The 13737-nt window shown below is 50.4% G+C and overlaps 2 protein-coding genes and 1 long non-coding RNA gene across 8 annotated transcripts; 1 reads left to right on the top strand and 2 right to left on the bottom strand.

Moving 5' to 3' along the window:
* PSMB8 (proteasome 20S subunit beta 8) lies at positions 670-4632 on the bottom strand. 2 transcript variants are annotated; one of them, NM_004159.5, is made up of 6 exons: positions 4232-4632; positions 2895-3042; positions 2625-2736; positions 2087-2216; positions 1484-1688; positions 670-1000 (listed from the first exon to the last, which is right to left on the bottom strand). In NM_004159.5, exons 1-6 carry the CDS (start codon positions 4364-4366, stop codon positions 912-914), a joined length of 819 nt encoding a protein of 272 aa, NP_004150.1. In that variant the 5' UTR covers positions 4367-4632; the 3' UTR covers positions 670-911. The 2 variants fall into 2 exon arrangements, with proteins under 2 accessions (NP_004150.1, NP_683720.2); NM_148919.4 differs by lacking the exon at positions 4232-4632 and adding an exon at positions 3803-4000.
* Positions 4039-6453, top strand: PSMB8-AS1 (PSMB8 antisense RNA 1). Of its 4 annotated transcripts, none has more exons than NR_037173.1 (3): positions 4039-4227; positions 4598-4823; positions 5371-6453. It is a non-coding gene; the product is annotated as a PSMB8 antisense RNA 1 (long non-coding RNA). The 4 variants fall into 4 exon arrangements; NR_037175.1 differs by having other exon boundaries at positions 4763-4823; NR_037174.1 differs by lacking the exon at positions 4598-4823 and having other exon boundaries at positions 5283-6453.
* TAP1 (transporter 1, ATP binding cassette subfamily B member) lies at positions 5162-13657 on the bottom strand. Of its 2 annotated transcripts, none has more exons than NM_000593.6 (11): positions 12992-13657; positions 12341-12455; positions 12062-12192; positions 10897-11102; positions 10273-10470; positions 8943-9071; positions 8605-8793; positions 7872-8045; positions 7466-7628; positions 7021-7157; positions 5162-5738 (listed from the first exon to the last, which is right to left on the bottom strand). In NM_000593.6, exons 1-11 carry the CDS (start codon positions 13587-13589, stop codon positions 5532-5534), a joined length of 2247 nt encoding a protein of 748 aa, NP_000584.3. In that variant the 5' UTR covers positions 13590-13657; the 3' UTR covers positions 5162-5531. The 2 variants fall into 2 exon arrangements, with proteins under 2 accessions (NP_000584.3, NP_001278951.1); NM_001292022.2 differs by lacking the exon at positions 12992-13657 and adding an exon at positions 12548-12714.

Below are 13737 nucleotides of genomic sequence, written 5' to 3' on the forward strand. Positions count from 1 at the left end.
CTCCTACTTTCAAGCATTTGTTTCCTTTATTTTCTGGAAAGTGACATGGTCCATAGTTCCAGCATGATTCCGAAAATCTCATGATGTGTGTCTCTTTCTTCTAACCTGGATCTTTTACATTTTCCCCACACTCCTCACTTAGGGGAGTCCTCCTGATCTCTTCTTCCTCTAAAATTATAGTCCTGCCATCTTGCAATTCAGCATGACACATCATGAAATTAGACCCTTAATGTCTGTCTTTATATTCAATATCCAATATCTCCAAAGTGTTATTTGGGATAAATGGTATGGTGTTTATATGATTACCATATTAAAGTGAAGTGGAAGCTTTTTCATCCTACTCTATAAAGTCAAAAACAGTTATCCTAGGTGCCCTACTCCCTGTTCCTCAAACCATTAACAATGGAACACACAGGAGTCCCCAGGTGCCTCTCTATGGAAAGGACCCTAACCTATGTGAAATTGCAAACAAGTGTCCATGGACAGCAATGAGCAGCCTTCCTGAGGTCTTGGAGAGATGAGTGTGGAAGGAAACCCCAGGAAGAACTATGTGGTGAGGCCACATTTCTTAGATAGGGGTCTGAGCCCCTTCTCCAGAAAAAGCGTCTCTTTACTTTCTGCCCCACCCAACAACCACAGGCCCAACCCCATTCAGCCACAAGACAGAGGTATTTATAACCGTTTTTCTTTATTCTACTTAGTGGGGCACCCAGAAACTTCCCTGGGGGAAATGCTTGTTCAAATAGAGAACACGCAGAAGATGCACTTCACCGGCCTCCTCTGGCTGCTGAGCCCGTACTCTCTCTTTGGCTCAGGCTAGGCCTCTTCTTCTCCTTGGACTTAACGTGGCTTAGGTCCCTGAGTCGGCCAAGACCTCCCAGAGGAGACCTGCCCAGCTGCCACCACCACCATTATTGATTGGCTTCCCGGTACTGGTGCAGCAGGTCACTGACATCTGTACTTTCTACTTTCACCCAACCATCTTCCTTCATGTGGTACACTGTGGACAAATGAGAAAAGAACATGGAGTCACCTTTCACCTCAGCAAGTTCCTGTCACTGATGTTATGTTGAAGGCAGCAACAAGACACATGCGCAAGCTTAAAACCATATGACTGGGCCTTTAATGCCCTTCTTCTGACTCTGAAAATTTCCTCCCTACTACTCTCCCTCCTTTGAGTCTCTCAATCATTTTCTTTTTTTTCTTTTGAGAAGGAGTCTCACTCTGTGGCCCAGACTGGAATGCAGTGGCGCCATCTTGGCTCACTGCAAGCTCCACCTCCCAGGTTCAAGTGATTCTCCTGCCTCAGCCTCCCAAGTAGCTGGGACTACAGGCACCCGTCACCACGTCCGGCTAATTTTTGTAGTTTTAGTAGAGACGGGGTTTCGCCATGTTGGCCAGGCTGGTTTCTCAATCTTAAATCACCCCCCCCACCACCCGCCGACTCCTCCCAGGCATGGTGGTGGGAGCATTGGTCTCTTACTATTGACAACGCCTCCAGAATAGCTGTCTCTGTGAGTGGCATAAGCAATAGCCCTGCGGCCAAGGTCATAGGCCTCTTCAGGGCTAAGATTAGGCCGATAGCCACTGTCCATGACCCCGTAGGCATAAGTGTTCCCACTACCCGTGGAGAACATATTTCCTGAGAGCCGAGTCCCATGTTCATCCACGTAGTAGAGTCCAGGACCCTATAAGATGAAAGATTTCAGGCTGAAATTGGAGAGGAAGATGTTGGTAACATGGGGGTTCAAATATGAGACATAAAAAGTGAACAAAAGAATTAATATTACCACAAGAACATTGGAATTAGGAAACCACTTTGGTAAAGTCATCGAACTTTAGAAATGAAAAAGGAAAAACAAACTTGAAATCAACTGTTTAACAAAAGGGACAAGCTTACAAAACACATGCAATGATTCATATCTGGGCCAATAAATAGTCCATGGATATACTGAAACAGTTCTATAACCAAGCACTCTATATGCCATGCATCTTGTCAGGGAGGGAGTAGGAGTATATGATGGGAAACAGATCTGTCATCCATAGGGAACATGGTGGGGGAACATGAAGAATGGAGAGCACCCACCTTCTTATCCCAGCCACAGATCATACTGCCCATAGAGAGGCCCATGCCCCGGTACTGGCACATCATGTTGGACAGCAGCTTGGAGGCTGCCGACACTGAAATACGTTCTCCATTTCGCAGATAGTACAGCCTGGGTGAGGACAAGGTGGAGTGAGGAAAGAGAGGTTAGCTCTTTCCAACTTGATGGGGCAGGAAATGATTAAAGAGATAAGCATTGGAAAGGAATTATTTTGTAGGATCTAAAGATCAGAGAAAGATTTGGAATTTAAAGTATCTGAAACATACAAAGGCAGCCTAGTAAATGATACTGTCCCGCCAGGGTGGATGTGTCAGTGCTAAATACCTGACGTACTATCTGGCTTATGAGTGGAGCACAGGCTGAGATTTGGGAGAAGGGTCTTATCACCAAAAAGCTGTTTTGTGAAATATACTATTAGCACTAAGATGGACCACATAGGACAAGAGTAAGGAGCAATGATCTGAGAGATCCAGGGATTAACCACTAGGCTAAGAAAGGAAGATGAGAGGCCTCGCTTACCTGCATTCCTTGGCCAGCAGGCGCTCCCAGTACTGACAGTCTGCTGCACAGCCAGACATGGTGCCAAGCAGGTAAGGGTTAATCTCAATCACCTTGTTCACCCGTAAGGCACCTGGAAGAAGATGGAGCTTTGGGAGAGAAGGGATGACCCCATAGATCCCCCAGTGTGTCCTAAATCAATATCCACTTCCACTTTGTTGCAGAGTTGGCCTCCTGTGGAAAGGAGAGCCCAGCTCCCCAGATTCTGCCTGCTGGAGCGTATACACTCACTAATGTAGGACCCAGCTGAGGCCCGAGAATCCACTGCTGCAATCACTCCATGCTGGAACTTGAAGGCGAGCGTGGTGGTGCCATGGGCCATCTCAATCTGAACGTTCCTTTCTCCGTCCCCACCCAGGGACTGGAAGAATTCTGTGGGCTGATAAGAGAAAAGAGGTTGAGAAAGGCAATGAAAAATTCTGTAGTAAGAGGCTCCAGGAAAAGGTTTTAGGGAGTATGAGGGTGAGGAGATATGCAGAAATGATCTAACCATCAATAAATGAAACAGTTAATAACCAATCTCTAGAAGGAAATGGCTTGGGAGAAGGAAAAGAAGAGGCATGCCAGTATCAACCTTTTCCATTTTCCAGCACAACAGAAATGAAAGCAAGCACATGTTACCATTACTAAAAAATTTTGAGAGTGACTTAAAGGGTTTCTTCCATGCATAAAGCATTCAACCCTCACAAAACACGTTTAGTAACAGTATCCTCACTTTACAGAAGAGGGGCTTGGGACCTAGACTAAGTGACTTGTTCTAAGTCGCGCAACAGTGAGTTGCTGAGAGGAGGCCAGCAGGCAAATTTCATAGGTTTCCCAAGACACCACACACCTCCTATATCATGTGATAACCCCATGAAAAAGGCTCCACCATTTGTGTGTGGACAAGGGCAGGAAAGTTCTCTTGTCTTCCTTTGGGAGCCCCCACCTCACCTGTAACTCTTTGTCCTAACTTGCACTTCCTCCTCTCAGGCCCCATCCCCATGTGGCCTCTTCTTTGGGTCTGGCGCTCTCCGGGACTGAAGGCTACCCCCGACCCTGTACCCCGCGCTCCCGCTCTCGCCTCCTCCTCTCAGGCGACCCTCCACTCCTCAGCGCCCGCCTCCCTGCATCCCTAGGGGCTTCCCTACTGCCCCGACCTGCATTCCCCGGGGTAAAGCGAGCTCTGGAGATCGCATAGAGAAACTGTAGTGTCCTGGGTCCGAGCGACGCCCGCTTCCCGCAACCGGGAGAGCCGATTCCGGCCGCTGCCCTCGGGGGGCTCCGCATACATCTAGTAGCGCCATGACCGCCCAGCACCCAGAGATCTGTCCGCTCTCGGAGGAGGAAGTGAAAGCGAAAGCCACAGATCGAAGGGGAGGGAACAAGACTCTTTTCCACATCCCCCTGCCTTTTCCGAGAAAAGGACAGTTAGTGCCTGGACCAGGACCATCACACTGGGGACCGGCTTCTCTGCTCTCCCGTTATGGGGGTCGGGGGAATGATGGGTCAAGGGTCTTCCGAAGAAAGCGAGAAAGGAACAGGCGCCTTCAAAAGCCCACTTGGCGATGGGTTACAGTAAGAGGTACCTCCAGGCCCGGGCATCCGCTGGAAACAGGGGTGGGTAGGGTCGTGTCATCTAAAGGCGCAGCTTCAACCAGAAGACTAGAAGTCAGCCAGGAGCTGGGAGTAGTGTCACGCGGGGTGGGGGTTCCTATGAGCATCACTTTACAAAACCAGGAGGGACGGAAGTGCGAGGGGGCAGAGTCTTGGAAACAGGTCCTGGGCCAACTGCAACAGAATATACCCGCCGCGTGTAGGGGAAGGCGGCGCCAGGGAGAGGGCGCAGTCTCTGAATCTTTCCACGGGGTCCATCCTAGGGCCCCTCCAGGTTCAACGGTCTCCTAACCTGTAGTCACCCACAAGAGCGTGCCCTTTCTGCCCGCCCTTCCTAGCGTTGCTCCCTGCTTGGCTGAGCACTGCGGAGTTTCACGCCTCTAAACCCCGCCTCTTCTTGCAACCTGTGTTGGCCTCATCTACCCAGCAACTGTCGACGTCACACGACCTGGGCCTCCCTGAATGGGAGATATTTACTAGGCAATCCCGCCTACTGTTCTGAGGTTTCCCCTCCAGGTGCAGCTTCAGAGCCAGGCGAGCCAGGAAGGACCAGCGGGCGAGGTGGTGAGTTGTGAGGCGCGCCCAGTCCCTCTGTTCCCGCCTGGCACTTGCTCTGGCCGCGCCCGCCCCATCTGCCACTTCGGAGAGGCCACGGCTCTGAGCTGCGGCCGCTAGTGCCCTGATGGGCCCTGTGGCTGGGGTCTTGCACATTCTTGGGGGTGGGCCTAAGGGGATAGGGGAAGTGGAAGGGGCCTCATAGGAATTAAAAAGCTTAAGGGAAAAGGTGATGCAGTTAGGGGGTAAAACATTGAGGATGATAAAAGAGGAGACATCCGCAGCTGAAAAGTGCGCTGCAAAAGGCAGTGGGCCGTTTGGTGTGCCGGAAACATAAGAAACCACAGTACAAAACACCAATTTTATTATAAATATCAAGAACCTACAGGGTGTTTATGGGCCAGCATATGCCTTCAGTTATGTTGAAAATAGCTGATCATCTTTCCGTACATTCTGAACATTTCTCAGTTTCAGAGTGCTGGCCACACCAAAGCATCAGCCCTGGCTCTAAACTCCGTTACAGTAAGGAATTACAAATCCTGTGTTTGTACTCCAGGAAGTCTGCATTATCACGAGGAGCTTGGAAAGGAGGTAACACACTCAAGGCAAATTTCAAGTAACTCATCCTGGAGGCAGCTGCCTACTCTGCAGCTGTGGTTCTCCACCACAGAGAGAAGAAAAGGGAGGGAGATGGAGTGCGCAGGTCTGAGAAGGCTTTCATTCTGGAGCATCTGCAGGAGCCTGCACCATGGCCCAGTAGCACCCCTTTTTCTCCATGAGCTGCTGGTGGGTTCCCCCCTCCCGGATAGCGCCTCCTTCCAGAAAGAGGATGTGGTCAGCCTGCTCCACCAGGCTGAGGTGCTGGGTGATGAGAAGCACTGAGCGGGAGTACCGCTCAGGGCTTTCGTACAGGAGCTGCTCCACCTGAGGAAAGACATCGGACCGTCAGAGCCGGGGACTACCCTCAGCCCAGGGAGACACCTGTGTTTCCAGGGCTGGGACTGACCTCACAGGATCACTGCTGGCTCTGCTAACAACCCCAAGGACACCAACGTTTCCCATTCTGAGTACTTCTCCGCAAACCCTTTGTTTCATTAAGGACTGTTTTACATGAAGGGTGCAAAAGTAGGATAAAAATGAGAACCCTAGGGTGAAACACGTGACAGAAGAATAAAGACTATTGAATAGTCCTCTTCTCTACCCATGGACTTGGCATTTTTATATTCGATTTTAAGGAAATATAACTTAGTAGTAAAGAGATGAGCATTCAAGTCAGGCAGACCTGAATTTGGGTCAAGGCTGCGCCACTCAAAAGCTATATGACCTCTATATGAGCAGCTTATTCAACCTCTTTTAACCTCCATTTTGTCATCTGTAGAATGATGATAAATGCCTAGCTCAGAAGGATTCCTAATGAATAAATGAGTGACAGTGCATGTAAACAGACTAGCTTAATTAATATTAATATGATTAGGATGGGCTGGGCCCGGTGGCTCATGCCTATAATCCTAGCACTTTGGGAGGTCAAGGAGGGAGGATCACTTGGGCCCAGGAGTTCAAGGCCAGCCTGGGCAACATAGCGGGACGCTGTCTGTACAAAAAATAATTTTTTTAAATAAACGATATTATGAGGATGGTCTTTTCCTTATGTTTCGCTTTAGAAATTCAGTCTATAGGACTGGGCGCAGTGGCTCACACCTATAACCCCAGCCCTTTGGGAGGCTGAGGGGGGCAGATTACCTGAGCTCAGGAATTCAAGGCCAGCCTGGGCAACATGGTGAAACCCATCTCTACTAAAAATATAAAAGTCAACCAGGCATAGTGGTGTACACCTGTAGTCCCAGCTACTCGGGAGGCTGAGGGGAGAATCGCTTGAGCCCAGCAGGTTGAAGCTGCAGTGAGCCAAGATTGTGCCACTGCGCTCCAGCCTGGGCAACTGAGTGAGACACTGTCTTAAAAAAAAAAAAGGAAAGAAAGAAAGAAATTCAGTCTGTAGTTTGTAGATAGTCTCTTTTAACTGATTCTAGGTGTCTTTGCCTCGTCTTCTATCTCTACTCCTTGGGGAGGCATCCAATGGAACTGGATTTGGGAACTGAGAACTGCAAGGACTGGTTTGTATAATTATGATGTTAGTAAAACTAACAGAAGATGTATAAAAGAAGCAAGATTGGGTGGGATATAGCCATTAAGAAGATGACTGCCTCACCTGTAACTGGCTGTTTGCATCCAGGGCACTGGTGGCATCATCCAGGATAAGTACACACGGTTTCCGGATCAATGCTCGGGCCAACGCCACTGCCTGTCGCTGACCCCCTGACAGCTGGCTCCCAGCCTCGTCTACCTCTGCAGAGCAAAGGGCCAAGATGAGAACGGTATAGCCACATGTGTGCACGCATGTACATGCACACAGACACACTCATGCATTCACGCACTCACACACACCAAGATCTGACGGTTGTAGCTGGATAGGGGAGATTCTGGGAAGATGAACAGAATCCTGAGGATGTCAGGATGAAGAAGCCATAGGAGCATGATCTTACAACTTCAAATTGATGTCCATGAGTAAGGAGGAACTGAAGGATAAAGGCAAGACTACTGGGGTTTCAGCAAAGGTAAAGATGGCTGGGTGGTGAGATGAGTGGAGAGAGTACCTGTGTCATAGCCCTGAGGGAGTCCAGAGATGAAACTATGGGCCCCAGACTTTACTGCAGCAGCTGTGATTTCCTCCATAGTTGGCTTCTGGGTCAGGCCATAGGCAATATTTTCTTGAAGACTTCTTCCAAATACCTGTGGCTCTTGTCCCACTGCAGCCACCTGAGATGAAATATGATGAAGAGTCATAGAACAAGGCACATGGGAGTATGGTTATCTAGAGATCGAAGACTCAAAATCTTTATTGAGAACATGTCACAAAATCATACTACCTCCCTCCTGACTACACCACCATCTCCACCCAAGGTCTCTTATCATTCCCTAACCCCTCTTTCAGAGTGCTCAGTAAGAATGCTCTTCGTATTTGATGCTCCCTGCCCTCCTTCAAGCCACCTGCTTCCATACCTGCCTGTGCAGGTAGCGGTGCTCATATTGGGGAAGGGGCTTCCCATCCAACAGCAGCTGTCCCCCGGTGGGCTGGTACAGATTCTGCAGCAGGGCAGCCACTGTGCTCTTCCCAGACCCATTGGGTCCCACCAGCGCCGTCACCTCGCCAGGGCGTAGGGTGAATGTCAGCCCCTAGAGGCCAGAGAAGCACACGATAAGAGGCTACCAAGGCCTCTAACCTTGAGAGTGTCATTGCCTTGTTACATAGCATGATGTCTTACCCCAGAAGAAAAACAGGGAAATATAGAAACTCCTACCCTCCCACATGCACAGATTTCTGGGTGATGCCTCCCCAAGGAGTAGAGATAGAAGAAGCGGCAAAGACAAGGGCAGAGACCCAGCACCACTATGCCACACACTTGATGTCAGATACCACCAGGAAAGGGAAAAATCACATTCCAAATTACAAAGGAAAAGGAAAGATGGAAGACCGAAGACACAGATTTTGCTGCAGCAATTCCTTGGAACGTGAGAGCACTCTCTTCGAAACCTCTTCTCTCATTCTCTTTGGAAGCCCAAACTGGGTTCTTGAGTTTGGGGAAGATTTATGGAACAGATGATGCCTACCATTGCCTTTAAAGGGTTAGGGAGGATATATGCTTGGCAGTAAGCAGGCTGAAGGCAGGAAGAAAATTTAGGATGGCAGAATTGCAGTTGGGGCCAGTGGAATACAGGGAGTGGTAGGTTGTACCTGTAGCACTAAGACATCTGGGCGGTTTGGGTAGGCAAAGGAGACATCTTGGAACTGGACAAGGCCCTCCAAGTGTAAGGGAGTCAACAGACCACTGGGTGGGCAGCGAGGGGTGCGGTCCAGGTACTCAAATATTTTCTCTGAGGAGCCCACAGCCTTCTGTACTCTGGGGTAGATGGAGAGCAGTACCTAGAGGGAGGTAAGAATAGTGAAAGTGAGGTAGTCTGCTTGCCAGCATTATGTGAAGCAAGAAGGGTAAAGAATGGAAGGACATCACACAGATGGTGCTGGGCCAGAGGAAGGAATCACACTGGGGAGTGAAGGTGGAGGGACCTCACCTCCACAGCCTGGGTGAACTGCATCTGGTAGAGAACAAATGTGACAAGGTTCCCACTGCTTACAGCCCCACTGGTCACCAGCTGCCCACCAATGTAGAGGATTCCCACTTTCAGCAGCATACCTGAAATCTATAAAGAGACCACAAAAAAAGGGACTGAGGTAGAGAAATCTGGAGGGGACACAAAGAACCGCAGTCATTAACCTGAAGGAAATATCAAGTCCCTGTCTCCTAAGTGACATCGGCAGGCTCAATAGGCAGACAGGAGAATGAACCAGAGACCCCATGGAGTCTGACTCAATGCACATCATGCAAGTCACAGTTATCTTCACCACCATCACCACTATCACCTTGTCTGGGGAGCATTTTACTCTTCACAAAAGGCTTTCATTCATGTGATGTCAGCTAATACATGAAGAGCCTTATAAAGAAGGTTATATCACTCCATTTTTGAAAAATGAGGAAACAACCAGTCGGGCGCAGTGGCTCATGCCTGCAATTCCAGCACTTTGGGAGGCCGAAGTGGGCGGATCACAAGGTCAGGAGATTGAGACCATCCTGGCTAACACGGAGAAACCTCGTCTCTACTAAAAATACAAAAAAAAAAAAAAAATTAGCCGGGCGTGGTGGCGGGTGCCTGTAGTCCCAGCTACTCAGGAGGCTGAGGCGGGAGAACGGCGTGAACCCGGGAGGCGGAGCTTGCAGTGAGCCCAGATCGCGCCACTGCACTCCAGCCTGGGCGACAAAGCGAGACTCCAGCTCAAAAATAATAATAATAAGTAAAAATAAACAAACAAACAAACAAATAAATAAATAAAGAGGAAACAGTCTCAGAGAAGGTAAATTTGTTGTCATGATCACAAGACAAGTAAATTGCATCATCAAGCCAGGATCTTCGGATCACTGGCGTAGCTCTCTTTCCAGTGCATCACAGATGTCCCTCATCCCTGGCTTCCACTATTCCCATCACTCTCACTAACAAATCTACAAGGTACCAGCATGAAGCAGTCCCAGGTGCAAGAATTTATGGCGCCCTGCACTTCCCCTGAGAGGCAAAGGAAGGCCCTAGGACTGGAAGACACGCATCTCTCCAATCCACATGGTTGGGTGGATTTTATGTACCATACTGAAAGGAAGCCACCTAGCATCTTTAAAGAGAGGGAGGGGGCTAGGGACACTGAGTAGAGTCATTGAGCCTCAGGTTGCTAGGACGAAAATACTGAACCAACCATTTCCCAGTAAAGGAGGAGTGGGAGCAGGGTCATAGGAATGGGAATGGAGTCACGGCATCTTAAGGACAAGGGAATGGGTATTCATCTTCAGGTGCTCACACTAGTGGTCCAGGAGTTGACTGCATAGGCCACAGCCTCCTTCTGGTTGAGTGTCTTTATTTCTTGCAGCTTTTCCCTAAACTTCTGGGCTTCGCCCTCCTCGTTGGCAAAGCTTCGAACTGTAGGCATGGCCGACAGAGCCTCAATGGCCACCTGGCTGGACTTTGCCAGAGATTCCCGCACCTGCACTTCCAGCAACTGTGGATACATGGACAAGAGATGTCACACGGGTTGGCAAACCATCAGGGACACTAATACCTGAGTTACCTATTTGGAAATTAAAGGTGAGAAGAGACAGAGGAAAAGGAGAAAAGAGAAAGAGACACAGCTATGCCCCTTGGATGCTAAAGAAATACGAGGAAGAGGAAAATGACTCAGAACGGGTTGGGGATCAAATTCTTAAAGACAGATTGTGGGGAGAAGCTAGAAAAGAAGACCCAGAGAGTATGGAGGTTAATGTTGAGCAACCTGGGAACATGGACCACAGGGACAGGGTGTTCCATGAAGATGGAGAATCAGTAAGGGTGCCAGGAAAGCTGGACTGAAAGCAATGTGAGAGGAACTGAGTCTGCCAAGTCTGGGAGATGAGGGTCTGTGTAGAGCGGGCCAACTCCATGAACATACCTGGTACCATTTTCCCACCTTCTTGGGCAGAAGGAAAAGCAGAGGCAGGGTGATCAGGGTGACCATGGTGAGGGACACTGATCCCCAGAGCATGATCCCCAAGAGACATAGGCCTCGCACCAGGTACCACAGAAATAAGCTCAGATTCTCACTCAGAGAATCACTCAGGGTGGACGTGTCCTCTGTTACCCGAGACATGATGTTACCTGCAGGGTTGGGGAGAAGAGAGTGAGGTGAATCAGACAGGTTCCAAGTGATGAGACGAACTAACAATGAGCCAGGATGCCAGGGTCAGGGGTGTCAACATGGGGTTCTAAGGAGGCTGCAGGAAACAAGGTTAGGGTTCTCCAGAGGTCTGCAAATCTCAGTGCAGGGAAGATGAGTGTTAAAGAGGAAAGGCCTGACCTTCATTTTAATTATAAAGTCATTAATGCACATGTGAATTTCCATTTTCCTGAAAGCTTTCTGTTCCCTAGAGAACCTGTATGTCCCATGCTATACACACAGGCAGGAAGAGCTTAAACTGGTCACATAACAGAGATGGAGGAGGAGGGTGCTGCTAGGAAGCATGCCAAAGTCTGTGGAGCACTCACTGGGACTAGGGTTCTAACCCCAGGTCTATCTCTAGCCATATGTAACTGTACAGCTTCTAGTGCTGCTAGAAAGCATGCCGAAGTCTGTGGAGCACTCAAGAGACCAGGGTTCTAACCCCAAGTGTGTCTCTAGCCATATGTAACTGTGCAGTTTCAGCATTTAGGGTCTTGGCCTCAGTTTCCTTCTCTGTCAGATGAGGCAGTTGGTCTCTATGAGCTCAAAATTTCCAGGTTTGAAATTCTATGGTTTCTATCTAAGGATACATAGGAATAGATTTATAAGAAAATGCTAGATGAAAACTCTAGGTTTTTCTTAAGGTAAGGAGGACAATATTTTGCTCCTGAGGTATATCAAGAATGAGAAAAACAATTGTGTGTGTGTGTGTGTGAGAGAGAGAGAGAGAGAGACAGAGACAGAGAGAGAGAGACAGGGAGAGGGTATATCAAGAATGAGAAGGAACAATGTGTGTATGTGTGTGTGAGAGAGAGAGAGCGGGGAGGGGGGAGATCAAAGCAGATGTATGAGGATATGAACAGTACATGGCGTATAATGAAAGAGTTTCAGGAGAAACCTGTCTGGTTCTGTTGGAAAAACTCCGTCTCCTGGCGCAGGACAGCCCCAAACACCTCTCCCTGCAAGTGGCTGTGCACGTGGCCCATGGTGTTGTTATAGATCCCGTCACCCACGAACTCCAGCACTGCACTATAAAGAACCCGGAAAAAAAGGGGATCAGGGTGTGTTCAGGGAACAGACTGAAGGTCCCAGGTATCCCCATATAAGTGCATTTCGGACAGCAGCCCCAACTTCCAACTCCCTCATTTGCAGGGTGCCCCATTTTCAGCCCCCAGACCTGGCTATGGTGAGAATGGACATGAGAGTTAAGTTTCGAGTGAAGGTATCGGCTGAGCCATCTTGTAGAATCCAGTCAGTGAGGCGGCCCGTAAAGAATGGAATGGCCATCTCCCCTGGAGAAAGAGAAGAGAGGTCACGCACAAATATTAAGTCTAAGTAGGTCAGTTCCAGTCAGACTGGCCCCACCACGCCTCCTCCCCCTCACCATTATCCTGGAGGGCATCAGCAGAAAGGAAACACTGACGTCTCAATCCCGAACCTAAATAGGCTGCCCTGGAACTCACTACCCTGTGGTTGCTCTACCAGAACTTTCAGGATTTTATTAGGAAGGCTGGAGATCATGAAGTAGAAAAGCCTCCTGTTAGAGATGAGGATGCCCCGCCCTTCGGCCCCAGAGCAAAGGATTTCCCCGCTTCCGGCGTGGCCCAAAGAATCAAGACCCGGTCAGCAATGGAGCCCAGAACCTCTGGCCCCCGCCAGTCCAGTGCCGTTTCTTCTACACCGAAGTGGTGTTCCAAGACCCACGCTAGGAGTCCTTCTCCTGCTCCACATTTCCCAGAACCCACGCTACTCTACCTTACTGACAATTACCTTTGATTCCTGTCCCAGTCCCCTTGTGTCCTCCCCTCTTGCCCTGCGTTCCCCTTACCAAGAGAGGAGAGGACCACCAGGACCAGGAACAGCGAGAGGCGGCGCGTCTCCGAGCCCAGGCAGCCTAGAAGCCGACGCACAGGGTTTCCAGAGCCGCCCTGACCGCCGGGCACCCAGAGGCTCCCGAGTTTGTGCCACAGGGCTGCTGCGGGCAGTGCCGCTGCATAACTGACAACGAAGGCGGTAGGGTGACTTCCCCAGTGCAGTAGCCTGGTGCTATCCGCGGACCCGGGGGCTCCCCATGAGATCAGCTCTCGGAACAAGGCAAGTCCCGGCAGGGCCAAGCCCAGTGCCGCAGCTAATGGCTTCAAAGCAGCCAGCCAGCCCTGGGCACCTGCGTTTTCGCTCTTGGAGCCAACCGTTGCCCTGAGGACCCCGCAGGCCCCCAGCCAGAGCACGGCCCAGCGGCTCAGGCCCACCGCCCAGACCCGGAGCAGTGGCAGCGCGGTGGGCACCAGCAGGGAGAATATGCGGGGCAGCGCGGTCCGGAGCAGCACCCAGTCGGCGAGAAGTAGCAGTACTGTCCCCAGCCATGCGAGAGAAGCTCCGGGGAGGCAGCGGCACCCGCGGGGAGCGGGACACCTAGAGCTAGCCATTGGCACTCGGACGCCGTCCCGGTCCCGGCCGGGCCTGGGACTCTCCGCGCCCCGGTGGGGCCTGAAGCTCCGGGTACCGCCGAGTCCTCCCCTACTGGCGGCTGGGGGAGGGAACGAGGGCGGGGCTCTCGGAAAGTCCCAGGAACAG

Source organism: Homo sapiens, chromosome 6, assembly GCF_000001405.40.
Source record: "Homo sapiens chromosome 6, GRCh38.p14 Primary Assembly".
Lineage (NCBI taxonomy): Eukaryota > Metazoa > Chordata > Mammalia > Primates > Hominidae > Homo > Homo sapiens.

Excerpts from the sequence above, each read along its gene's own strand:
- PSMB8 (NM_148919.4), bottom strand. The coding sequence starts at position 3,949 with ATGGCGCTACTAGATGTATGCGGAGCCCCCCGAGGGCAGCGGCCGGAA. Across the intron at positions 1,689-2,086 it reads TCTGTGGCTGGGATAAGAAG|GGTCCTGGACTCTACTACGT; the intron begins GTGGGTGCTCTC and ends TTCATCTTATAG. Across the intron at positions 1,001-1,483 it reads TTCTGGAGGCGTTGTCAATA|TGTACCACATGAAGGAAGAT; the intron begins GTAAGAGACCAA and ends ATTTGTCCACAG.
- TAP1 (NM_000593.6), bottom strand. The coding sequence starts at position 13,589 with ATGGCTAGCTCTAGGTGTCCCGCTCCCCGCGGGTGCCGCTGCCTCCCC. Across the intron at positions 12,456-12,991 it reads GGTGGTCCTCTCCTCTCTTG|GGGAGATGGCCATTCCATTC; the intron begins GTAAGGGGAACG and ends CTCTTTCTCCAG. Across the intron at positions 7,158-7,465 it reads CCCTCAGGGCTATGACACAG|AGGTAGACGAGGCTGGGAGC; the intron begins GTACTCTCTCCA and ends TTTGCTCTGCAG.